At 41.0% G+C, this 27,721-nt stretch overlaps 1 pseudogene, 1 gene segment (V, D, J or C) and 1 further gene, besides 4 other annotated features; all 3 read right to left on the bottom strand.

Moving 5' to 3' along the window:
• Positions 1–27,721, bottom strand: part of IGK (immunoglobulin kappa locus) — a 1,378,008-nt gene that overhangs the window by 97,350 nt on the left and 1,252,937 nt on the right.
• Positions 15,467–16,232, bottom strand: IGKV2D-14 (immunoglobulin kappa variable 2D-14 (pseudogene); annotated as a pseudogene). The gene is given in 2 exon segments: positions 15,467–15,778; positions 16,184–16,232. Coding segments are annotated over 2 exon segments (361 nt in total).
• Positions 15,768–15,778: a sequence feature.
• Positions 16,184–16,232: a sequence feature.
• On the bottom strand, positions 22,619–23,132 carry IGKV3D-15 (immunoglobulin kappa variable 3D-15). The segment is given in 2 exon segments: positions 22,619–22,914; positions 23,084–23,132. Coding segments are annotated over 2 exon segments (345 nt in total), but the record flags the coding sequence as incomplete, so codon positions are not given.
• Positions 22,904–22,914: a sequence feature.
• Positions 23,084–23,132: a sequence feature.

Below are 27,721 nucleotides of genomic sequence, written 5' to 3'. Positions count from 1 at the left end.
CATCTTTAGTTTCCTCAAATATCAGGTACTTGTACTGAGTGTGAAATCTGTCCTGTACTTACTGGCATTGACTAGTCCTGTGACCCCTGGGAACATCTTGGGAAGCATACTTTGTAAGAGAGGTTTTAGGGTAACCTAGCTATTGGAAGCATAACATTTGCAAAATATCCTAAACTTTGTGATTTCTAACATGTCCTCAAGGTTCCTTAATTGCAATTATCATAAGCCAATTATCTCTAAATATCTGCAAAATTTATATTTAATAGTAGGAAAATGATTTATTAAGGAGTCTATTAAACAAGACTCAGGGAAATGATGTCAACACCTAATTGCTGCTGCCCACTGCTAGACTATGTGAGACAATTTTCATGAACAATAGAACAGATACTGCATGCTAGACACTGCTGTGAGCACCACTGGCCTGCTACCTCTAGAAATGTTTGCAGAACGAGGGCAATTGCTATGAGTCTCAAAATATAATTTTTTTTATTATACTTTAAGTTCTAGGGTACAAGTGCACAACGTGCAGGCTTGATACATAGGGATATATGTGCCATATTGGTTTGCTGCACCCATCAACTCATCATTTACATTAGGTATTTCTCCTAATGCTATCCCTCCCACTGCCCCCGACCTCATGACAGGCCCCAGTGTGTGATGTTCCTCACCCTGTGTCCAAGTGTTCTCATTGTTCAATTCCCACCTATGAGTGAGAACATGAGGTGTTTGGTTTCTTTTCCTTGTGATAGGTTACTGAGAATGATGGTTTCCAGCTTTATCCATGTCCCTGCAAAGGACATGAAATCATCCTTTTTATGGCTGCATAGTATTCCTTGGTGTATATGTGCCACATATTCTTAATCCATTATATCATTGATGGACATTTGGGTTGGTTCCAAGTCTTGCTATTATGAATAGTGGCATGATAAACATACGTGTGCATAGTACCATGATTTATAATTCTTTGGGTAGGTACCCAGTAATGGGATTGCTGGGTCAAGTGGTATTTCCAGTTCTTGATCCTTAAGGAATTGCCACACTGTCTTCCACAATGGTTGAACTAATTTACACTCCCACCACCAGTGTAAAAGCTTTCCTATTTTTCCACATCCTCGCCAGCGTCTATTGTTTCCTGACTTCTTAATGATTGCTATTCTAACTGACGTGAGATGATATCTCACTGTGGTTTTGATTTGCATTTCTCTTATGACCAGTGATGATGAGCATTTTTCATGTGTCTGTTGGCTGCATAAATGTCTTCTTTTGAGATGTGTCTGTTTATATCCTTTGCCCAATTTTTGAGGGGGTTGTTTGTTTTTTTTCTTGTAAATTTGTTTGAGTTCTTTGTAGATTCTGGATATTAGCCCTTTGTCAGATAGGTAGATTGCAAAAATTTTCTCCTATTCTGTAGATTACCTGTTCACTCTGATGGTAGTTTCTTTTGTCATGCAGAAGCTCTTTAGTTTAATTAGATCCCATTTGTCTATGTTGGCTTTTGTTGCCATTGCTTTGGTGTTTTAGTCATGAAGTCCTTGCCCATGCCTACGTCCTGAATGGTATTGTCTAGGTGTTCTTCTAGGGTTTTTATGGTTTTAGGTCTAACATTTAAGTCTTTAATCCATTTTGAATTAAATTTTGTATAAGGTGTAAGTAAGGGATCCAGTTTCAGCTTTCTACATATGGCTAGCCAGTTTTTCCAGCACGATTTATTAAATAGGGAATACTTCCCCATTTCTTGTTTTTGTCAGGTTTGTCAAAGATCAGATGGCTGTAGATGTGTGGTGTTAATTCTGAGGCCTCTGTTCTGTTCCACTGGTTTGAATCTCTGTTTTGGTACCAGTACCATGCTGTTTTGGTTACTGTAGCCTTGTAGTATAGTTTGAAGTCAGGTAGTGTTATACCTCCAGCTTTGTTTTTTTTTTTTTTTGCTTAGGATTGTCTTGGCAATGCGGGCTCTTTTTTGATTCCATATGAACTTTAAAGTAGTTTTTTCCAATTCTGTGAAGAAAGTTATTGGTAGCTTGATGGGGATGGCATTGAATCTATAAATTACCTTGGGCAGTATGGCCATTTTCACTATATTGATTCTTCCTATCCATGAGCACGGAATGTTCTTCTATGTGTTTTGTGTCCTCTTTTATTTCGTTGAACAGTGGCTTGTAGTTCTCCTTGAAGAGGTCATTCACATCCCTTTTAAGTTGGATTCCTAGGTATTTTATTCACTTTGACTTTATCTGTGAAGTGTATTTAAATTCTCATTCTATAGAAGAAAAATCCAAAGTACTTGGAAAAGAGAAATCTTGCCATGAGATACACAGTTCTTCAGTTTCAAAGCAGAGATTATCTCTCAGATATTCTGGCTCATACAATTTTCAGTACACTGCAAGACAGAAGATGTGAAGACAACACTACCCAATTGGCCTTACACTTGCTTTGCTCGCTGTTAACTAAGTTCACTGTAAAAAAAAAATGATTACAATAAAACACATTGTCAATGAACTGTCACAAATAAATACATCTTTAGAACCACATCCAAAATCCAGACATAGAACATTTCTATAGCTCCAAAACATTTTGACCCACTCTTTTGGAATCAACTTGCTTTCTGCCTCACAGATCAGGGAATTTTGATCTGCTTCTTGTCAGTACAGATTTCATTTTCCTTGTAAGAGTTTCACATAAATGAAACATAGGATGCGCTCTTTTGTGTCTGGTGACTTTTGTGCAGCATGACTCTTTCTCAGATTCATTCAGATGTCCTGTGTTCTAATTATGTGCTCCTCTTTATTTTTGAGTATTATTTAACTGTTCAGTAATTTTATGATGGATCCCTTCATCTATTGATTGCCGTGTGGGTTGTTTCCATTTTGGGCTATTATGGATAAAGTTGCTGTGAATGTTCTTGAACAAGACTTTGCATGAACATATGTCTTCATTTCTTTTGGGCTAATACCTAGGCGTGTAGTTGCTGTGTTTATCAGTAAGTGTTTAATACTCTGTCCGACTTTACCCAAAGTGGCTATAATATTTTACATGTCCACCAATAACTTATTATAGCTCCACACCCTCCAAAATATTTCAATTTTTTTTAAGATTTCACCTAATTGTTACTCAACAGTAACCAGAATAGCTAGTGATTATTAAGCTATGTTTTTCTTCCCATTTTCTTGTCAATTTGGGGAATTGATGTGTTACAGGACATTGAGAACAGAATCAATACTGTCCTAGTTCCCTATCAAACACTTTTATCAAGCCATAATGTTTAGGATGGTAACATGATATATAAAGGGAGTGTTGGAGTAGTAATAAGTATTTTCAATACTTATTATATTCCATAAAGCAATATATCTTCAATGAAATGGCATTTAACTAGACTTAGCATAGTAAGGTTCTCATATCAACCCTAGTATTCAGTATTAGCAAAAGTTTGAGGAAAAAAATATCCAGCAACATAAGCCAGAGAGTGTTTTGCTAGTCAAGTAGCACTGCAATACTGATGCTCTTCTAATGCCAGCCCTTCACAATAATTTCCACTCAGAACATTTGGTTGCCTCCTTGCCTTGTTCTCCTTATGGGACTTCATGCTGAGGGCATGTGGCATCACAGAGGGAGCAGTGCACTTGGGTGCAGAAATATAGCTTAGTAGATTGTCTGGCCTTAGAGGTGGCTGCAATGGAATACACATTTTCAAGGAAGTTCCCTGTTAAACCTCCTGGTAAACTGATAGTTAAGACCAGGTGCGGGGACTTATCCCCGTTATCCTAGATGTTTGCAAGATCAAGTAGGGAGGGTAGCAGAAATCTAGGAGTTCAAGACCAGCTTGGAAAACATAGGGAGACCCCCTCATCTCTAGAAAAAAAACACTGTTTGTTAAGATGTGGTGTAAACAATGGCATCTCTAAGTGATTATTTATTAACATTTGCTGAGAAAATTAGAAAATAGAACGATGCCTTCTGATCCAATAATATCATAATAAAGATGTGAAGTTTTTAAACTATGGTAAGTATAGAGAACATAAAATTGCCCATCTTAGCCATTTTCAAGTGTACAGGACAATGGCATTAAGTATAGTCACATTGTTGGGCTAGCATCAGTAATATCCATCTCCAGAACTCTTTCCATCTTCCAGAACTGAAACTCCATAGCCATTAAATGACAACCCCCTCCCCGTTTCCCCTGCTCCCAGTCCCTGGCAACCTGTAATCAAGTTCTGTCTCTATGACAGTGACTGCTGTGAAACAGGTTTGCTGTGCCCTGGTTACCAACCTGTCAGAGTCCAGGGAGACAGAACAATCATACACAACAAGTTACAAGAATCTAGTTTAGTATTTACAGGTGGCCAGCAAGGCACGGCAGAAGCTGAGGATTTATTGTGGGTCTTTACCCTGAGGCACAGGTAAGTGGGGCTGATGGAATCTTGACTGTGTGTACCCCTCTTGGACCAGAGCTAAGGAACCCCAGAAAGAAGATGCTCTGGGTTTTAAACCCTGGTGTCACAGGACACATGGAGCTAAAGTACTGGAGGACTTAAGTACAGGAGGACAGTACTAGAGGGAGCTGGATCAGAAGCCAGTCTGTTCTGACCTGTCCCTCGCTATTTCAGAATGTTACATTTCCAGCACATTCTACAATTATTCTTGAGAAGTGTAAGAAAGAGAGTGGGGAAAATCAAGTGAGTCCAGGACCATCGGAGGACTGGAGTGAAGTCGTCCCCCAACACAGACATCCCCCGTAGAAAGCTATTCCATTTTATATGCCTACCAACCACCGTGAACTGGAGGCAGAGGTGTGTCTTGTCAGAGGGATGAAGCACCTTGACTGACACAATCTCAAAGCAACATCATTGAGACAGAGCCAGAAAAGATTTCACTGGGCCAATGAAAACTACTACCAGAGGCAGAATGATCAGGCCCACCTGAAGCAGTTATGTAGCCCAGGATCCCATGATCCACAGAAGAAGTTGCTAAAGGGGTGAAAGAAGAATCCTTCAGGTGGGATTTTCTGAATCTGCAGAATCCATTTTCTGCAATTATGAGCTTGTTTCCAGATCTCCTCTACTTGAATTTCTAGGATACCTGAGGTGTTTATCCAGGTATAGCAGGGGGTATTGGAAATTGTATACATTCCTCCCAGTTGGGATTTTTTAAAGGTCTAGAGCAACACTGTTATCTTAAACATCCATCCCAATGGAGTTAAGGGATGTCTGCTGGGTTACCAAGGCAGTGGCTATGGAGGAGGAGCAATATCTGCCATGGTCAGGGACAAGTTCCTTATCATTTCACTTTTTTTCATGAGCACTGACTCCTATACGTAGTACCAAAAATATCATAAAAGACATAAACCTATCATCTGTTGTACCTTCTGGTAGGTCCCTAGTAAGTCTGAGGTACAGCTTTGGGCTTCAGGCTCTATGATTTACCTAATTCCAAGGAACAATATCCAGAGACAACCCCAGCATGCCCAACATGCAGGATCTCACTATTCCACAGATATCCAGAGATGGCATCACATATCCTGCATTTTGGTCACTCCCAAACCGCTTACAGAGAAAGATGTAGCCCTTGGGTGCATACAGCCCCCCTTTTCCCATTTTTCTTCAATCACTCAGTCATGGTTATGCTGGTATTGGTGCGTTCATTAGCCAAGTCTCACTGATAGTAGAGTTGCGTGAGCAAAGTTTTGCTCATACAATATTGTCTGTAGACAGAGGGCTAGCATTAGTCCAGTCCTTGTTTTTATCATTGCCATTGGGATGTTTCTCATCTATGCAATCAAAAAAGTATGGTGCATCAAAATATTAGTCCACCAATGTTTTTTTTAGTTGTGGTCATGACATTCGCCAGAGGCAATTAAGTTAAACAGGGGTCCTCCAGTTTCCTCCCATGTGGCAGGTGTCAGATTCTCACTTCGTGGGCCAGTGCTTGGGTCCTTTTGATGTACACCTTAGTATTAGGAATGTTGGTGTAATTTACCCTTGGTGGAATGAAAGGGAACCTCTAGTTAATGACAGAATGAGGTCAAGAATGGGAGATTCACTATTTTGAAAGATCACCCTGGTGACCTAAAAGAAGCTAACAAAGACATTGTGCTTCTAGGCCTTTGCTGCCTCATTCTTGTCAAAATGCAGCCTCACAGGTTAATGCATCATCTCTCACCCATCCCAGGGTCTCAGGTGTCCCCTACCCATCTACAAGGGTTGGGCCGTGTTGGTGTAGGAATGCGGTCTGGCTGTCCTTGCTCTGTGAACAATCCATTGCCTTTGTCACTTGATCCAGATATTTCAGTCCTGATTGTCCACTCCAGGAAGGGAGATTCTGCCCTATAAAAACTGGTCATATTTCATAATATCACCAACACTAAAGGGAGGATAAGATGTCCCTGGCACCAGAAGAGGGCCCCTAGCTCCATGATATTTCTTAGTCTTGTTATCCATCACTGTGGGATCTTGTAGAAAGGAAGCACCCAGAGGAAACATAATCCTCCTATTAGAGTTAGGGGGCCTGTCTGGGGCATTGTAATGGCCTAGATTGCAAACCACCCCAGAGCATATATTCTAAAGGAAAAAAAGAAAAGGAATGGTTAGGAACACTGAAATAGCTTTCACAGGTCCAGACTAATATAAGTGTCTGCCTGGCCTACCTTTACTTCCACCCAGCTCTGTGTTTCTCAACATGCACTATTTCCCTTTTTGTGGCCCAGGATCCTTAATGTACATATTTCTCTAGTCAGATGGGATACCACCCCATTAACAGACTTTGTAGATGTCCTTTCTGCATATTGCTGTGTGATTCCACTGATCTAGCATTCACTAGGATCATTGGCCTGTGGATGCAGGGTGCATGGAAAGTTCATCGTGTTCCATGAGAGTGTGCCTATTGTCATGTTGCTTGGGCAGTGAAAGATGCTCCTTTGTGAGTGAGAAGTCTCATGGAGTATCCAAAAATATGACATAAATTGCACTCAAGGGTTACCTAGGTAGTCCCAGCATCAAATTGAGCATCATATTTCTTTTTCCTGCAGGTGGAAAGCTGTGGCCATAGTCCTTTCCTTCACACTGGGGATTCTTTAATAGTCCAGTCTCTCAGTTGCCATTTTCCTGAACAGATGGCAAGGCTGTTGGCAATGGCCGAGGATTTAGTGGATATGTGGCATGGTGCGTTGTTGGGACAGCCTGCATGGCCATTACCACTGAATGTAGTTTTGCCCACTGGGTAGAAAGCCCATGTTAAGTTTCAGTTAAAAAAGTGGCCATCCACTGGCTGAATGGTGGCCACACCTAGTGGACCTGTCAGTTAGCGTTTTGCTCAGCCTTCAGTGACTCCTGCCATATGGAAATCTCTGAATCTTGGGCTCCACATGGGCAAATAAAGAGCCAAATTATCACCTACAAGTTATTTGGTCCCTTCTAGCAAGCTCCCCATTTGTTCATGGAGCCACAGATCCTGTGGGGTCCTGACTAAACCTGATCAAGAATGTGCCATTTCCATTTGATAACATGGCTCTGTTCAGATTGTTCAGTTTTACTAATGGTGTTTGTAAGTATCCAAGTGAGAATGGACAGCTAAGGGACCAGTGTCACAGTCACACATGGTGCTGAAGCCTTAACATGTTCAGTCTCCATCAGTGCCTAATAGCAAGCAAGGAGTTGCCATTCAATATAAACACATTCAGTGGCTGATTCAGGCAACTTATGTGTCCTAAGATTGAGAGGCTGGTGCACTCATTGATAGTTTTCTGTTGCTATACGCTCCACTGAGTATGCATAGAGGTTGTGGATACCTGGACTTCCATCTGGTTAGCAGGCTGTAAAAATCTTAGAGAAGTGACTGGGCCAGGCCTTGTTGAACAGATTCCAAGGCTACTGTTGCAAAACGCCTTTTTCAAAGTTGGCAACTTTGTTCATGATTTTGACTAAGGGAACCAAAAGAACACCCAGGTGAGGTTTATGCCGTCTCCCATTCGCAAAGGGGCCTACCTGCCACTGAGTCTCCTTTTATTCAGTGGGTGCCACAGCGACCAATGTTTCCAGCTGTTCAGTTGGCATAATAATTAACTATGAGTACACAGCTCACTTTCACTATACATATATTCCTTGATGGAAGTTACAGCATCATACATGATTAGCGTGTCAGAACCTTCACCACATCTGACAGGGTATCAATTCAATTACCTAGGGTTTGTGTGTCAGTTTTGCTTGACTAACAATACGTTTTCTCCTTTCTATAGAGACGGCTGCACCTGTGCAGGTGATAAGATCATGAACTGCACCCTTTGCCTTACTTTTTTGTTGTAAATAATTTGCCTGATTCAATGCCATATTATGGAAGAATTTCTTAACTGTGATGAAAGCACTTGGAAAATCCTCAAATAATATTTCATGCAGACATATAACTGAAAGAAAGACAAATGCATATACAGGAAAACAACTGCTGCTCTTCTCATGTTGGATGAGGCCTGCTAAAAACACCTGACACCAGCTGTTAGTCTGATCCTTGATGTCTGGTACAATCTTGGGTTATTCTCCTTGGAAAAGTGGATGCTCAGAAGTGCCAGTATCCCCGTGAGTCCCAGTTAACTGAAATTCATATTGTTAAGCCCATGCATGGATAGTCATGACATCAGTTCATGAGATTCCCTGGGAAAGCTGGGAAAGGTAACTGATGAAGTCCATGTTTTGAATTATTTTAATTATTTTGAGCTCCTGCTTCTAATGGCCTTTAGATAAATATTCACTTGGAAAGGATTTATTTTTTCTACTGGTCCTTTTTTGGAAGGTCCAGTCATATCTCCTCCAGAGTGACTTTGTGTCCAATCCTTCAGATGTGTTTCTTCTAAGGCCTGATGATCTGTCAAAACCACTAGTCAAGATAGTGATATTGTTGGTAATATCCAGAGCGGGGAGAGGACAATAGTACTCCCAATATTGCGGGAGGTGTACACCCCTCTTTGTGTTATTGTTCTTAATATCCAGGGGGAAAACAGGATGACATTACTACCAATATCGTGGGGGGTTTACACCCCCCCTTGTGAGATTCTTCATAATATCCGGCAGGGGGGTGGATAGGACTATATTATTCCCAATATCGTGGGGGGTGTACACCCCTCTTGTGATATTATTCATAATATCCTGGGGGGAGACGACAATATTACTCCCAATATCGTGGGGGGTGTACACCCCTTATTTTGATATTGTTCGTAATATCCAGGGTTGGAGAGGACGCCATTACCCCCAGTATTGCGGGGAGTGTACAACCCCCTTGTGATATTGTTCGTAATATCCAGGGAGAGAGGAAGATATTACTCCCAATATCGTGGGGAGTGTACACCCCCAACTTGTGATATTGTTCATAATATCCAGGAGGGGAGAGGACGATATTACTCCCAATATCGCCCGGGCTGTACACGCCCCCTTGTGATATTGTTCGTAATATCCGTGGGGGAAGGGAAGATGATATTACTTCCAAAATCGTAAACACTTTGTGTGTACACCCCCCTGTGATATTGTTCGTAATATTCGGGGTGGGGGGGAGAGGATGACGTTACTTTAAATATCGTAAACACGTTGTGTGTACACCCCCCCACCCCACGATATTGTTCATAATATCCAGGGAGAGAGAGGAGATATTACTTTCGATATCGTAAACACGTTGTGTGTACACCCCCCTGTGATATTGTTCGTAATATCCGGGAGAGGAGAGTATGATATTACTCCCAGTATCACGGAGGGTGTACACCCCCCGTGATATTGTTCATAATGTCCAGTGGGGGAGAGGAGATGTATTACTTTCAATATCGTAAGTAACTTGTGTGTACACCCTCCTTTGGTATTGTCCATAATATCCAGGGTGGGAGAGGATGATATTACTGGCAATATCTCGGTGGCTTTACACACCCCTGTAATATTGTTCGTTAAGGAGTTAAGAGGATGATATTACTCCCAGTATCGCGGGGGCGTGCACGCCTCTGTGATATTGTTCATAACATCTTGGGAGAGACAGGAGGAAATTACTCTGAACATCGCGGGGCATGCACAGCCCCCTGTGATACTGTTCGCAATATCCAGCGGGGAATAGGATGACATTACTCCCAATATCGCTGGGGATGTTCACCCCACTGTAATATTTTTCTTAATATTCGGGGGGGAAGGATGATATTAATCATAACACTGCGGGGGGTGTACACCCTTCTGTGATATTGTTCATTGTATCCAGGGATGGTTGGAGATGATATTACTTTCAATATCGTAAACACCTTGTGTGTACACCCCCCTGTGATATTGTTCGTAATATCCAGTGGGGGAAAGGATAATATTACTCCCAACATCTCGGGAAGTGTACACGTCCCTGTGATATTTTTCTTAATATCCAGGGGGGCAGAGGATGATATTACTCCCAATTTTGCGGGGGGTGTACAACCCACTGTGATATTGTCGTAATATGAAGTGGGAGAGAGGATGATGTTACTCCCAATATCGCCGGGAGTGTACACCCCCCTGTGATATTGTTTGTAATATCCAGGGGGGGATTGGAGATGATGTTAGTTTCAATATCGTTGACACCTTGTGTGTACACCCGCCTGTGATATTGTTCGTAATATTCAGAGGGGGAGAGGATGATAATACTCCCAATATTGTGGGGGGTGTACACCACCATGTGATATTGTTCATAATATCCAGAGAGGGGAGAGGATGATATTATGCCCAATATCGTGGGGGGTGTGCCCCCCCTGTGATATTCTTGGTAATAATCGGGGGGAGATGTCATTATTTCCAATATTGTGGGGAATGTACACCCCCTTTTGATATTGTTTGTAACATTTGGAGGGGAGAGGATGACATTACTCCCAATATAGTGGGGGGTGTAAAATCCCCCTGTGATATTGTTTTTAATATCCGGGGGGATTTGAGATGATATTACTTTAAACATCGTAAACACCTTTTGTGTACACCCCCCTGTAATATCGTTCATAATATCCAGGTGGGGAGAGGATGATATTACGCCCAATACCACGGGGTTGTACATACCCCTGTGACATTGTTCCTAATATCCAGGGGAGGAGGGGATGATATTATTCCCAATATCTCAGGGAGTGTACACCTCCCTGTGATATTGTTCATAATATTCAGGGGTGATTGGAGATGATATTACTTTCAATATCATAAACTTTTTGTGTATACACGCCCCTGTCCTATTGTTTGTAATATCCAGGAGGGGAGAGTATGATATTACTCCCAATATTGTGGGGGGTGTACACCCTCTTGTGACATTTTTTGTAATATCTGGGAGGGAGAGGATTATCTTACTCCTAGTATCGCAGGTGGCGTACTCCCCGCCATGAGATTGTTTGTAATACACAGGGCTGTCAGGATGATATTACTCCCAATATCTCGGCATTGTACCCTGCCCCAGCATGATGTTGTTGTTCGTAATACCCAGGCAGGGAGAGGATGATATAACTCCTAATATCACATGCAGTGTACCCCCTCTGTAATATTGTTTGTAATACCCTGTGGTGGAGAAGATAATATTATTCTCCATATCACGGGTGATTTACTCCTCTTTTGTGATATTGTTCATAGTACCCTGTGGTGGAGAGGATGAAATTGCTCCCAATATCACCACCGATGTGACATTGTTCATAATACTCAGGGCAAGTCTTTCCTGTGTTTGTCCCATGATAGGGAATAAGTCTCTTGAGATCTGATGGTTTTATGAAGAGGAGTTCTGCACAAGCTGTCTCTCTTTGCCTTTTGCCATCCACGTAAGTTGTGTCTTGCTACTTTTTGCCTTCTGCCATGACCGTGAGGCCTCCCCAGCCATATGGAAGTGTAACTTAATTAAACCTCTTTTTTTTTTTTTTGGTAAATTGCCCAGTCTCGGATATGTCTTTATTAGAAGCATGAAAATGGGCAAATACAGTCAATTGGCACCAGGAGAGTGGGCCGCTATTGAAAAGATACCCAAAAATGTGGAAATGACTTTGGAGCTGGGTAACAGGCAGAGGTTGGAACAGTTTGGAGGGCTCAGAAGAAGACAGGAAAATGTGGGAAAGTTTGAAACTCCCTAAAGAGTTGTTAAATGGCTTTGACCAAAATGCTGATAATGATATGGACAATGAAATCCAGGCTGAGGTGTTCTCAGATGAAGATGAGGAACTTGTTGGGAGCTGGAGTAAAGGTTATTCTTGTTATGTTTTAGCAAAGAGATTGGTGGCATTTTGCTCCTGCCCTACAGATTGGTGGAACTTTGAATTTGAGAGAGATGATTTAGGGTATCTGGTGGGAGAAAGTTCTAAGCAGCAAAGCATTCAAGAAATGACTCAGGTGCTTTTAAAGGCATTCAGTTACATAAGATAAGCAGAGCATAAATGTCCAGACAATTTGCAGCCTGCCAATGTGATAGAAAAGGAAATCCCATTTCTGAGGAGAAATTCAGGCCAGCAGCAGAAATTTAAAAAAGTAATGAGGAGCCCAGTGTTGTTAATCCTCAAGACAATGGGGAAAATGTCTCCAGGGCATGTCAGAGGTCTTCATGGCTGCCCCTCCCATCACAGGCCCAGAGGCCTGGGAGGAAAAAGTGGTTTTGTGATCCAGGCCCAGGGCCTTCATGCTGTGTGCAGACTAAGGACTTGTTGGCCTGTGTCCCAGCTCTTCCAGCCATGGCCAAAAGGGGCCAATGTAGAGCTCAGGCTGTGGCTTCAGAGGACCCAAGCCTTGGCAGCTTCCACGTGGTATTGAGCCTGCAAGTGCACAGAAGTCAAGAATTGGGGTTGGGAAACCTTCGCCTAGATTTCAGAGGATGTATGGAAACACCTGGATGCCCAGGCAAGAAGTTTGCTGCAGGGGTGGGGTGCCCATGGAGAGCCTCTGCTAGGGCAGTGCTGAAGGGAAATGTGGGGTTGGAGCCCCCACACTGAGCCCCTACTGGGGCACTGCTTAGTGGAGCTGTGAGAAGAGGGGCACTGTCCTCCAGATCCCAGAATGGTAGATCCACTGACAGCTTACACCGTTCACCTGGAAAAGCCACAGATGCTCAACGCCAGCCCTTGCAAGCAGCCAGGAGGGAGGCTGTACTCTGCAAACCTACAGGGACAGAGTTAGTCAAGTCCACGGAAACTCACTTCTTGAATCAGCGCGACCTGGATATGAGACATGGAGTCAAAGGAGACCATTTTGGAACTTTAGGTTTAACTGCCCTCCTGGATTTCAGACTTGTCTGGGGTCTGTAGTCCCTTTGTTTTGGCCAATTTCTCCCATTTGGAACAGCTGTATTAACCCAATGCCTGTACCCACAATTGGGCCTAGGAAGTAACTATCATTCTTTTGGTCTTACAGGCTCATAGGTTGAAGGGTCTTACCTTGTCTCAGATAAGACTTTGGACTGTGAACTTTTGAGTTAATGTTGAGATGAGTTGAGACTATGGGGGACTGCTGGAAAGGCATGATTGGTTTTGAAATGTGAGGACATGATATTTGTGAGGGGCCAGGGGCAGAGTGATATGGTTTGGCTGTGTCCCCAACCAAATCCCATCTTGAATTCTCACAGGTTGTGGGAGGTACCCGGTGGTTGGTAATTGAATCATGAGAGCAGGTCTTCTCTATGCTGTTCTCATGATAGTGAGTAAGTCTCATGAGATCTGATGGTTTTATAAAGAGGAGTTCCCCTGCACAAGCTCTCTCTCTTTGCCTGCCACCATCCACGTTAAGATGTGACTTGCTCCTCCTTCTGCCATGGTTGAGAGGCACCCCCAGCTTATGGAATCGTAAGTCCATTAAACCTCTTTTTTTGTAAATTTCCCAGTCTCAGGTATGTCTGTTTCAGCAGGGTGAAAACAGACTAATACAGGATTCAGACAGATTTAGAATTTTAATGGCTTCTTGATGGATTTACCAATTTATAATTATAAAATGTCCATTTTATCTCTTGCATTAAAGTCATGACCTAGTTTCTTTTGCTCAGTTTTACATGATATGTACTTTTCATCCTTTCATTTTCAAAGCCATTCTATATTCTTACTATAGTGTGTATTTAATGATTAACATACATCTTTGATTTTAATCCTGTCTGATAATTTTATGATTTACTTGGAAAAATTTGTTTATTTACGATGCAATTATTGTAAAGTTAGGGTTAAACCTACCGTCTTGTTTCCTCTGATTTTCTTGATTCATGCTTTCATTTGAATTAGTTTAATTATAGATTTTTTCTTATATTAACTTGCTAAATATGCAAGATTATTATACAGAAGATATCCTCAACTTATTAATGCCTAATACACATATAGTGTATTAAAATTTCTCTCTCAAATTATTTCTAGGTAAGTGACACAAGCAGAATCAACCTTTGGAAGATCATCTATTTCCTGCTGGGTTGACTGGAATGTGTGATACGACCTAAGGTAACCATTGAGTCACCACACAGACCTAGAGCTCTGTGTGATGCAGCACTTCCTCAGGAGCTTGCAGTGGCGTCAGGGCCCAGCCTTGAATGCCAGGCAGGGGTCTCTCAACTCTGTGATTCTTCCCAGGAAATACATAAGAACTTGCATCTGGGTTCATATCTCAAACGCAACCCACCAGTCTCTCACGTACTGACCTCTGCTCTAAGTCTTCAGATGGTTATTTTTCATGCGGTAAAAATATGGCTTACATATTATCTTGTAATTCTGTTTAAGATGGCATATTTATGTTCCTTTATTCTTTCAAACTTGGTCCTTATTGTTGAAACCCAGCTTTGGAGTTCAGAAAACTACTTTTTACTTCAACATGCTGTGGTTGAGACTGTGGAAAGACTTTTGGCACTAGGTCTTTAGTTTTGCATACATTTGCAGCAACATATCTAGTAACTTAAAAATCTAGACCGTGAAGAGTTATATTTTGGTACTCCCTGAAAAAAGTAGGAAAAAATACAGTGCCTGCTGGTGTCCTGGTCAGGGGTCTGCCTTCGGAAAAGTGGTGGGGGGAGGTGGAGGAGGGGAGGGAAACTGTTTTAATATTACCAAACCTTATCAACATACATATACTCTAGTAACTGCTAAACCAAATCAAAAGAATGTATTAGTTTTGCGTTGCCAGTAGTCAGTCTCAATTAGGTGCCTGTTACGCAGAACGAATTTACTTGATGAATGAATGTAGGGAAGGAAGAGAGGCTTAGAATGAGCTTTCATTGAGCTTTCTCTTCTCTTGTGTCTCATTGCTCAAAGGGGAGGTGTTCCTCCTCCTTTTTGCAGACTCTGTCATGCAAAGGCTGCTGCAGCTGATGGGAACTTAAAATGTGGTGCCTGAGGTGTAGCTGAGAAATTTATGGTCATGAGCCCTCAGCTGTACCAAGTCCTCTGAGTTCTCCAACATCTTGGTCTTTAGGCATCTAAGAGAATCCACAGTGCCTGCTCTCCACAGAAACAACACATCTGGGCAGCTAGGCCACAGCAAGCAGGGAGGTTTGTGTTCAGGACTGTACCATTGTGGGAGAATAATGTGTACTTTGCTGGCAGCAATAAACCCCAACATCCTCAGCATCCATCCTCCTTATTTTAAACATGAAATCTGTCCCCGACCCACTGCCACTGAACCTGTCTGGGACTCCAGGGTCCCTGTTGGAAACCAAATCAATCAGGAGCCGTGGAGGCTGGCCTGGCTTCTGTAGGTCCCAATTCAAATAGGTGTATCCATTACTGTGAAAGGGGCTATGACTGGATCTACAGGAGATAGAGGCTGGCTTTCCAGGGGTGATGGGCAGGGAGAGTGGAGGCTGGTTCACACAGCATCTCCATTGGATCCTGAAATAATAAGAGAGAAGTGCAAGGTTATGTACAAACACTGTGAGCCATTTTAATAATTTTCTGTCTGTTATTTATGTTTTGCTCAATTATTTTTTGTGTATGATTTTGGTTAATACTCCCAAAACATACAGGTTTAAAAAGAACCAAGATTTGCAAAGCACAAATAAGCCTCTAGAAATCACCTATCCCATCCCCCTCTTTCTGTGTCACAGCTTTCACTAAAGTACATGTCCTTGCTCCTTCTGGAATCTTCCTCACTCTCACAGATCTAGACATCACATGCCCCATCCTGGAGGACAAGACACATCTAACACGAGGACAGAACACACATGGGAGGTGGCAGGGCCCACAGAGTTCACCCTCCCACCCCATCATCCTCCCTCATTTCCCTTCTGCTCTCAGCAGGGACCCAGTGCATTAGCAGCCCAGGGAGCTGAGCAGGGAGCCTCACTGTGGGAAGGTGAACTGAGGAGTCCTGATCAGTCAAGGCAAGGTTAGAGCTGAGCTTTTATCTCAGACTCACAAGGGAAGGTCTTCCCTAGGGGACAGCATGCAAATCCCCTGGTGGGTGCAGTGGGGTGGAAAGAGCCAAGGAGAAGGTGGGGACCTCTCTTGTGAGCAAAATGACATAAATATATTTTATGTTTTTAAGGATATCAAGAGAGGTAAAATCTGTTTCCTGAGTGGCAGAAGGGACATATTTAGATGTTTCCTGCTATTTCCTCTACCCAATTTCTAGTTCGTTAGGACTTTCTCAGGCATGTTTTACACTTCTCTTTAATAAGGTTGAGCTTTCATAAATATTTGGTGATTCTTATTTCTTGGTTCAGGCTTATTTAAAAGAGCCTAGGTTTGTTTTATTTTATTTTATTTAAGGAAAAACACACAGTGCAAAAGGTTCAAATCTTAAGGGTGCAAATGAATGTCGAAATCCAGATCATTTCATGTCATGATCCACATCAAAATATGGAAGGTTTCCAATTCTCTTGCTGCTTTCATTATGCACCTTCCCAGTCAGCAACTGCTGCTCAAAACACAATCAATGTAACTGATACTGTGACATCTATTATAATTGTTTTTTTTCCTGTACTTAATCTTCATATCAGGTAAACATTTTTTGTAGCTTCTTTCTTATTTCTTTCATTTTTTGAGGGCTTGATTCCTTCTTATCAATTTGAATTGCTGTCTGCTCTCATTCCCTGTTATTCTGAAGGATTTTCTCTTGAATTTTCCACAAGGCACATATGCTATAATGAATTAGTCTTTGTGTATGAAGGAACATTTCTACCTTGCTTTTACGTTTAAATGATTGTTTTGCTGGATATAGCATTTGTGGCTGACTTTTCTCCCCAGCATTTAAATATATCATTCCACTCTCATCCCACCTCTATTAGTAATGATGAAAATTTAGCCAATACCTTTATTATTGCTTCCTAGTATAGAGTAAGTCAGTATTTTAGTGATGCCTTCCAAATTCTCTGTGTCTTTGTCTTTCAACATTGGTACTATAATGTGTATTGTTATGAATTGTATTGTGCTTATCCTAGAAGAGTTTCACTGAGTTACTTTCATGTACAGACTAATGTGTTTCATCATTGTGAAAAATGTTTTTCATTATTTCTCCATTTTTTTCTTTTTCAGTTTTTATTTTAGAATCAAACCATACATGTACAGATATGTTACAAAGTTATTTTGCATGATGCTGAGGTTTGGGGTATGACAGAAATTATTAACCAGTTAGTGAACATTGTACCCATAGGTAGTTTTTCAGCCCCTGCCCTTTCTCCCTTTGTGTTCCTTCTAGCACAATGTCTATTGTGCCCATCAACCAGGGATTCAATAAAGAAACTGTGGTATATATGCACCATGGAATACTATGCAGCCATAAATAAGAACAAAATCTTGGCCTTGCAGAAACTTGGATGCAGCTGGAGGCCATTTTCCTAAGTGAACAGATGCAGAAACAAAAAACCAAAAACCACATGTTCTCACTTATAAGTGGGAGCTAAACATGGGGTATTCATGGGCATAAAGATGGGAACACATTTTTAGCCTCTTTCTGTCTTCTCCTTTGTGATTCCTAATACAAATTTGTTGGTATTATACACATGGACCTATGATGTCTGAGGTTTTATTCATTCTTCTTTATAATTTTTTCCTTCTTTATATGAGACCATTTCTATTGACTTGTTTTTCAGTTCACTGATTCTTGTGTCATCTTAAATTGCTATTGAGTCTATCTAATACATTTTTCAATTGAGTTGTTGTACTTTTCATTTCTAGATTTCCCAGTATGCTTGTTTTCATAGTTTTGTCTCTGTTTGAGAGCCTCTATTGGTTGAATCATTGTCTTTACAAATTCCTTTTTCAGTCTTTTATTATAGGTTAAAATAATTCTTTGAACATATATTTGATAAGGGTGGAGCACATAGACACCATGGAGATGGACCATAAGGCAGGGAGCTCCGAATTAGATTAGGTGAATTTTGAGTCTCTGACTATATGATGCTCTTGTGGGTTTTAATTATTTCCCATGTTTTATGTTTCTCATATTACAAATAGCTTTTATTTTTAAGATAGTAACTATTATAGAAATTCAGCTTATAAATTCCTGGAAATTTCTAACAGAAAGATTGATGAAAAGATGGTTTTTTTAGGCCCCCACACCAGCCTCTGCCTGGGACCTGACTTTGTCTCTGAGCCAGTGGAATCTGTGATGAGGTTTTGAGTTGGGCAGTGAAATCACCACAGGGAAGGCTGTGCTCTGGGTGCTTTGGATGACAGGAGGACACTCCTTCAGGGTCAGTGATGCTGGGAGTTCAAAGGGAGACTCAGCATGGAGCTGCCTGTGAGTTATCCCAGCAATCCTGTTTGGACAGTGATCATCTCACAAGTGTGCTCGGAAGCCACTGGATGGCCAAAATGTGGGCTCAGGTTGGAGAAGGACAAAGCTATAGGGATGAAAATATAAGACTCATTTGATACTCTGAAATATCAGTACAACCATCATGAATTATATGGGAAGAGAAAGGAGTCACAAGATTGTGATTTTTTATTTGATATTAAAATATGTCACCTCTGCTCATTTTTCCCTCAAGGATGTACCTACTGATATACATTTAACCAAAGTCACTGTTTTTAATTTTCATTTTAGTAACTGACAGCCTGTGTGCAGAGTTCCTAAATAACGAAGCCAGACCATCATTGCTATGGGTGAAGCCAGGAAGTGACTGTGGATGTGAACAAATGTGAGATTCATGTACACGTCTCCAAAGACAGAGGCCACTGATCTGGGGAGAACCTGCAGTCATTTCACTTTCCCATACCCAGATGAGAGGACACCTTGATCTGTGTTCATCTGATGAACTCTAAAATCTGGACCATATTCTGAAGGTGTAGTTCACACTTCTTTTCTGTGCTAGTGGGACTCTCTCACTGACGTGTATTGTACCCTCTGCATAGGACAGTCTGTGATACATACTACTTGTTTTCTGCTAAACACCCATCAATCATGTCATTTATGAGTCTTCCATAGGTGTTACCTAACCTATGGCTATGGGGTCTTCCAAAAGAATGGGCCAGAGGTGGAGCTGTGAAACTGTAGCTGGATAAAAAGTGTAAATGTCAAGAAAGGGTATTGAAGTGGTGATAATAATAATAATAATCCAAATTAGTCTGGGCTCTTGGCTGTGATTACTGGTAAATGTGAAAGAGTCTAGGTTTGGTTTTTATTAGTTTTATTTCAACTGATAAAGTAGCCAGAGTAAAGTGCATAAATCTTGAATGTTCAACTGAATACAGTTTTTGTGTAATTCATTGTCCGAATGGAATGATAGAATATTTCACATTCCCTTGTGCTTCCCTCATGGACAATCTTTGTCAGTTATCACCCCTCTCACCCAGCAAAATTAATGTCTTTCTGACATCTATACAATCATTTAGGTTTTCCTGTCTTAAACTTTATATAAATAGCATTAAGTGTATTTTTATCTTTTTAGACTTGGTATTGCTCCTTACAACTTTTGAGGCCTTCATTTCTTTCAGAGGATTCAAGGTCCTGTCTCATGTCATTTCCTGTGATTCTGAAGGATTTTCTCTCAAATGTCTTGTAAGAGACATAGCTGCTATGAATGAATGTATTTTGTTTATCAAAGAATTTTTTTGCTTTTTCTTTAGATTTGAAGGGTATTTTCGATGGATATAGATTTCCTGGTTGCCTTTTTTTTTCCTTTCAGCATTTAAATATGACATTTCACTCCTTCTAGCCTCTATTGGTCCTGATGAAAACTCGGCCAATGGCTATGTTGTTGTTTTTCTGTATGTAGTGTCTGCTTTCATTCTTGATGCAATGAAGATTTTCTCTTTGTCTTTCAATATTTTAATATAATGTGTTCAGTTATTAATTCCTATTGATTATCTAAAAGATTTTTATTGAATTTTTTCATCTAAGAATTTTTTATTACTTTTGAAAAGTTTTTGTCATTATTTCTCCAAAGATTTCTTCAGCCACTTTCTCTTTCTCTCCTCCTTTGTGACTCTTATTATACATTTGTTGGTATTCTTCACTCTGAGCTATAAATCTCTGAAGTCTTCTTTTTTTTCTAAACTTTTTCTTTAGACTCAATAATTTCTATACCTCTATTTTCAAGTTAACTGATTGTTCTGCCATCTCAATTTGCTATTAGACCTAGCTAACAAATATTTAAATTGGTTTATTGCACTTTTCATTTCTAGAGTTCCAATTTGGTCATTTTTTTATATTTTCCATGTCTTTTCTTGAGGCCCTACTTGCCGAATCTTCTTTTTTTTTAATATTTTCTTTTTTATGTCAATGATCATAGATTTAAACATAATTATTTGAACATCTGCATATTAACTGCTTTGTAGTCTTTGCTAAATCCAATAATTGGGGCAAGTTAGAATTAGCTTTCATTGACTATTTTCTGTTGTTATTATTGTAGCTGCTTTATTTTTATTCCTTTAATATTGTTCATACTTCTCTGCTTTTTTCCAGAAGTTGTTAAACTAAAAATTGTACATTTTTGATAGCATATTATAGTAGCTGTCTTTAGATTTTGGGCTTTTTTATTTTAATTTTAACTTTTTTAGAAATAGGGTCTTACTTTTTCACCCAGGCTGGAGTGTGGTGCTGTGACCATAGCTTGCTGCAGCCTCAACCTCTGGGGGTCCAGGGGTTCTGCAGCTTCATCCTCCTGAGTAGCTGGGACTATAGGGGCATGCCACCACTCTCTGTTATTTTTTTTTTAATTGTAAGATAAGAGTGTCACTATTTTGCCCACCCAGCCTGGTCTCGAACTCCTGGCATCAAGTAATCCTTCTGCATCAGCCTCCCAAAGTACTGGGATTACAAGCTTGAGCCACCATGTCAGGCCTGGAATTTGTTTTGTTTTTCTGATCATTTTTTAATTTTCTTCTTAGTTTCTTGTCTGAACTTACTGATAGTACCTGACTTATGACAGTTGGAGTTATAATGTTTTGACTTTCAGATGGTGTGAATGTGATATGCATTCAAGTAGAAATAGAAATTCTAGTATTTACACAACTATTCTATTTTCTCTTTCAATATAGTATTCAATAAATTACATGAGGTATTCAACACTTTATTGTAAGATAAGCTTTGTGTAAGATAATGTTGACCAACAGTAAGCTAATGTAAGTGTTCTGAGCATATTTAGGATAGGATAGGCTGAGGCATAATGTTAAGTGGATTAGATGTATTAAATATATTTTCAATGCAAGATATAGAAAAATCTGTATCTCATGTGGCGTTTGACCACAGATATCTCTGCTTCTTTCTGTTCTTAATATTAATATTTAGTTTGATTTTATAGGAACTACACATGTATCTGCATAGCGAAGTGGTCACCAATGATCTGAGACATTTTGCTCAAATATCTGGAGGTTATAAATCTATCTTCTGTCAACCCATCTGTGTGTAGTTTAAAAAGCAAACTGCATGCAAAATGCAGCTAGTTCTTACCTCCCTCTGGTTTTACTTTGCACCGGAAACTCCTAGTTCTCATCACTCATATCTATAACTTCTAGGTCACTAGGAATATGTGCAGAGATTATTTCAGCAATGTGGGTCTATCTTATCCAGGAATCTGCTATTTACTATCAGCAGATGTACTACTTGCCTCAAACAAGGCATCATCTTGGACTAGCAAGGCTGTGGGCTTTTTCTGTTCATTTCCTATGGTGTTCTCCCTGTTTAGCTGGAAACACTGAAGAATTATTTCCCACTCCTTGGCTTTACTCAAGTCCACCCACTTTGGCAGCAAGCTGCCAGTTTTATTTGCTATCCTTACATGGGTAAAACTCCAGTTCTGCAATTCATATTGACTGAGCTGGGAATAGAAGGGTGCTGTCACAGGCAAAAGGCTACAGACATTTTCTGTCCTTACTCAAAGCACTAGTACTTTTTTTTTCTATAAAAAATATGCATCCTTAATTATTTTATGCTTTGCCAATTTTCAGAGTGCTGAAATAGTTTTGATATTTCAGCTTTATATTTATAGGTGTGTTTGTTGTTTATTCTTGCACAGATTTATTAAACTCTTTGTGATGCCATAAACAGAGATGCCTTCTGAAATGCGTTTAAATGAATGTAATAGCCACACTGAAATGGTATGATGTAATGGAATAACATAAGTAATTTTGGACTTGAGAACTTGAGCTCCAAAATGGCCAAATAGAGCAGAGATGCTAAAACTGAGTGGCCACCACACTAGCTGTCTGTAAAGGAAGCAGCTGGTATAATCTAGTAAACACTGATGGTCTTCTTGAGGTTTTTGTTTCATGTTGAATCACTGTGGGAGGCCAGTTATTATACTGCTGACAGTAATAAACTGCAAAATCTTCAGACTGCAGGATGCTGATGGTGAGAGTGAACTCTGTCCCAGACCCACTGCCACTGAACCTGGCTGGGATGCCAGTGGCCCTGATGGATGCACCATAGATGAGGAGCCTGGGAGCCTGGCCAGGTTTCTGCTGGTACCAGGCTAAGTTGCTGCTAACACTCTGACTGGCCCTGCAGGAGAGGGTGGCTCTTTCCCCTGGAGACACAGACAGGGTGGCTGGAGACTGCGTCATCACTATTTCTCCAGTGGTATCTGAAATTGGAAATAAAACAGAAATGCACTCATGTAATCAAAATCAAACCCACTGTCTTTAAGTAGAGCCAAAATTGTTGATCTACATTGAATTTTAATTATATTTCTTGCTGAGCAGAGGTGGCAGGAGTTTTCACTGATGTGCAAAACCACCTCATATTCCCCTCACCTGGGAGCCAGAGTAGCAGGAGGAAGAGAAGCTGCGCTGGGGCTTCCATGGTTCCGTCTGGGTCCTAACTGAGCAGTTCCTCCCCAGAGCTCTGACCCAGGCATTGATATGGGCCCTGGAAGGTAGGGCAGCTGGGAGGGACATGCAAAGCAGCTGGGGTGGGAGCTGAGCTTCCAGATGCAAAGACCACCTGCTTCTTCCTCTCTGCACTGAGCATCCTGCGCCGCCCTGGTTGTCAGGTCAGAAAAGTCTGTTGGCTCAGTCTGAGTGTAGAACTCCTCCCTTGTGCTCAGAGAATTTCGCTCCTGTGTCTTTCTTCTCCTCAATCACCTAAATCCACCCAGAAGATGTTTGGCACAAGCCTGTTAAGAACAATATAAAAAGCTGTGTTTTCACTTCTCTCTTCCTATCCTCAATATGCCCAGTCATCTCCCTAAGTGCATTATTGGATCGATGGAAATGAAGAATCTGTTAGAACTTAATCTTCCAGATACACCTTTCATTTGCTTGTTAGTAATGTTTTCTGAGGGTCCTGAAGCTTTCCATTAACCCAGCCACATACCCTCTTTGAGTTAAAAAGTGAAAAACTTCTGTTTACAGTCACATGTCCTGGCAGCCCTGACATAGATGCTCCATGGCTTGCCGATTGCTTGAAATTGATCAAGTAACTTAACTTCCCTGTGTCTCGGTTTCCATATCTGTGTAACTGTGACAATACTGGTACCTACCTTATAGTGCTGTAGACAGTTTAAAGAAAATAAGATAAAACATTTACAATAGTATTCAGGACATTATGTATGTGGCAATTAATTTTGTTTTTATTTATTAAATATTTAGCACTACAGTCATCATCATTATCATAAATATACTTACTTAGCACAGAAAAGAGTCTTCAGTCTAATCCAAGAATGTTTTATCCACAGCCAAATTTAATTCTAAGGCTTTTCCTTCACTAACTCTACACAACTCTTTAAATCCTAATGATTTGGTCTTAATCTGTGCTAAAGTACTCACACCTTCAATCATTCCCACCCATCCCTGTCTAACGCATTAATTCTCATCATCCATTATCAAAATGTTACTCTATAAAAGGTTCCCATGTCCTGTTGCTGTCCTTCTTTCTTACACAATCTTTATTCTACCCTGTTATCTTTTGTCTTATTGTTGCCCCAGGACAATAAGGAAAAGCTACCATCATTACCTGTTGACTTGCTCCAGTATAATTTTTTCAGGCTTGTTACCTTGGAAATGAGGACTATGTCTGGCAAAGAAACATATTCATCGGGTCAATGTGTTATGAAATAAAAGATTTTATCTACTTATGGTCCAATAAGTAATTTAGACCTACTTGAACAGTTTTTTTTTAATGAACGAAGAAGAAGATGATATAAGAGGAAAATACAATACAATAGAAAACACAAGCTATTATAACTCTTGCTTCACGGATTTCTACATATATATTAGACATATGCTGGGTATATGTGTGCAATGGTGATCCAAAAACTGAACGCTAACTGGCTGAAGGAAAGCCTGTATTACATTGGGTCTTGTCTATTTTTCCAATTATGAACAGAAAGCTACAGTACTATTTGTATGAGTATCAAACCTTCTAGCTGCTGTGATGGAGGTAGAGAAGATTTACTGAGACTAAAGCCTTGGAAGTACTAGAGGTTTGTCCTGTGATGTTATGGGTGTTGCTGTGGTTGTTGTTGTTAGGAAATACAGTGGAAGTGAAAGCAAGTAGAAAATTTACAAGCTCTGCTCTTCCTCATACTCACAACCCCTTCTAGAGATGACAGATAGTGGCACAGGAATCTCTGACACCTCTAAGGAAGTCTTTTTTGCTCTTTCCAGGATCTTTCCTGACAAGTATTGTTTTGAGTCACAGATGATGTGGAAGTAAGTGTAGAAGAAAGGACTAGAGCAAGGGAAGAAGCTTTCAATCCCAGGTAGTGGTTGTAGGCACAGTGAAATGGAATTTTTCATAGATTTATGCTACACTTCTATCATGTTGGGGAGAGAGGCATCAAACCAAGCTTACTCTTGAAAGAAACATTACATTATTTTAAAGAGAAGGAACTATGCATTTCTTGTCAAATAGATGTTTAAAATTCAAAGCTACAATTTTTTTTTTTTTTTGACAGTATCTTGCTCTGTCGCCCAGGCTGTAGTGCAGTGGTGCGATCTTGGCTCACTGTAACCTCCATCTCCGTGGTTCAAGTGGTTCTCCTGCCTTAGCCTCCCAAGTAGATGGGATTACAGGCATGTGCCACCACACCCGGCTAATAACAGGAGGGAGTAAAGGGCCACACAAGCATGTACACAAGAGACAACTTTTCTTCTTTTTTACAGAATAAGTCTAAATGTAAAATAGCGTTATAATGTATGGACTCATGTTTAAGACAAGTCTCTTGGTTTTCTAATTTGTGTTGAACCCAAGCAGTGTTGTGATAGAAAATGAGTTTCTTTTTCTTTAAGCTGAATTTGAATTTGCTCCAATAGCCTAATAGACACCCTAGTGGCAAGTCCTCTGTGATGCTCGCCATTGTCCCCATGTCTAACAAGGATTTCTACTGGACACAGAAGTTTTTCTAAGTCCAACAAGAGGGAAAGAGACTGGGCCATCATTGTTCTCATCTCAGATTTCCACTTCCTGCATAGAAGGTATACATATAGGTAGCCAGACGTTATGAAAATGGATTGTAAGCATTTGTTAGTGAACAAAATATGACTCAAACAGTATTTTTATTTTTTATTTTTAAATTTCTATTGCTTATTATTTGAGACAGACTGTCACTCTGTCACCCAGGCAGGAGTGCAGTGGGTGCAATCTTGGCTCACTGCAACATTCGCCTCCTGGGTTCCAGTGATTCTCAGGCCTCAGCCACCCAAGTAGCTGGGATTACAGGTGTGTGTCACTACGTCCAGCTCATTTTTTTTTTTTTTTTTTGTATTTTTAGTAGAGACAGGGTTGCACTGTGTTGGTCAGGCTGGTCTTCCTGACGTGAAATGATCCATCCATCTTGACCTCCAAAAGTGCTGGGATTACAGGCGTGAGCCACCGCACTGGGATTTAAGCAATATTTTTATTAAGTAAAGTGTAGAAGAAAAAGTGTAAGTAAGGTGACAATAAGAAAACAAAATGCCGTAATGGAAAACGATAACTTTAGGGCAGAAAACAAGAAAAGGCAAACCAAGATTCCTGTAGGGCAAGCCTCCAATGCACAATCCAAGGAGGAATGTCAAGGGTGAAAACTCTGGAGCATCCAGATAGTGGCCCAAAATACCAAATGCTGAAAACCCAGAATACCCAAGTAACAGCCTATGAGTGTCCCCACACCAAATGCCAGGAAACCCTGGAGTATCCAGGGGCTGACCAGTGCAGAAAATCCTGGAGCCTCAGTGGGGTGGCCAACAATGAGCCCCAAAGGCCTGGTTGGGGCCATAGAACAATGTGACTCTGGCTTCTTAGAGTCAACAGAACAGGAGAATTCTTACATCCAAGTGTCCTGCCTTAAACAATTGCACAAACATAATTAGCATGGACCCAAAGAAAAAACTGCAAAGCAAACACATATATCGGGGCAGAAAATAAAATAAAATGGCTGATGGATAAATAAAATGGCATTAGAGGAGAAATGACTAAGAGAAAGAACAATGAGGATGTAGTCAGGTGTGCTATGGGGGACTTCAAATGGACTATCTAGCCAAAGGCCTTATTTCCTGGATCATCTGATATAGGCAGGTGGGTAGATGGGACACTTACAGGTGTGCAGGAGCCAAAATGGGGCCAAGCAGTGTCTGACATGGGGCCTGCATGAAGATCTCTCCAGGCTTCCCAGCTCGGGTGGGTTGGGCTCCTATGGGGGAACTGGAGCACGGAGCGGCTGGCCTGCATGAAGCAGTGGCTCTGTGGCCTCTTGCCCATCCCCAGGGCTCCACCACCTGTCAGGAAAGATGATGGTTCTTAAAACAGTCTTTGGCTAGTGTTAATAGCTCTGCAATGTTAGCAACTCTGTAGCTTTGATCGCTGTAGCGCATATCACCGTCTCATCCTCTCTCACTGATCGCTGTCTTGCCACTTCTCCAATAGCTGTCTTGCCCATTGCTGATCACTGTGTCCATCTTCTCATAAAGTGCCATCTCTTGCTGTCTCTTGCTGTCTTGCTTCTCCGCTGTTTCCACTGTCTTACTGCCACATCAAATGCTGCTTCTCACCATCTCTAGTAGTGAGTGGCTGGCTCAATACTGATGCAAGGCAAGTCCTCAGCTTTGCTCAGGAAGGAATGTTAAGAGTAAGCCAGTAATAGAAGAAAACAGCTTTATTGATGGGGCAGCAGTGTTACAGCTCTGTGACTACTCCTGCGGAGCACGGGTAATTCATAGGCAGAGGGCTGAGAGTAGCAGCCAGGGGCATTTTTACAGTCACATTTATACCCACTTTTAATCATGTGATAATTAAGGGGTAGGTTGTTCAGAAATAGCTAGAAAATGGGTGGTGTTGCCCCAACTTCCAGGTGTTGCTATGGCAGGGGCAGGAATTTCCAGGTGTTGCCATGGCAAGGCGCTGTGACTTCTGGATGTTTCTATGGCAATGGTAAACTCTCATGGCACTGGTGGGTATGTCTTATGGAGAGG

This window comes from Homo sapiens, chromosome 2 (assembly GCF_000001405.40).
Source record: "Homo sapiens chromosome 2, GRCh38.p14 Primary Assembly".
Taxonomy (NCBI): Eukaryota; Metazoa; Chordata; class Mammalia; order Primates; family Hominidae; genus Homo; species Homo sapiens.
Note: the sequence above shows the minus strand (reverse complement) of the source record. Positions and strands in the feature narration are given on the sequence as shown.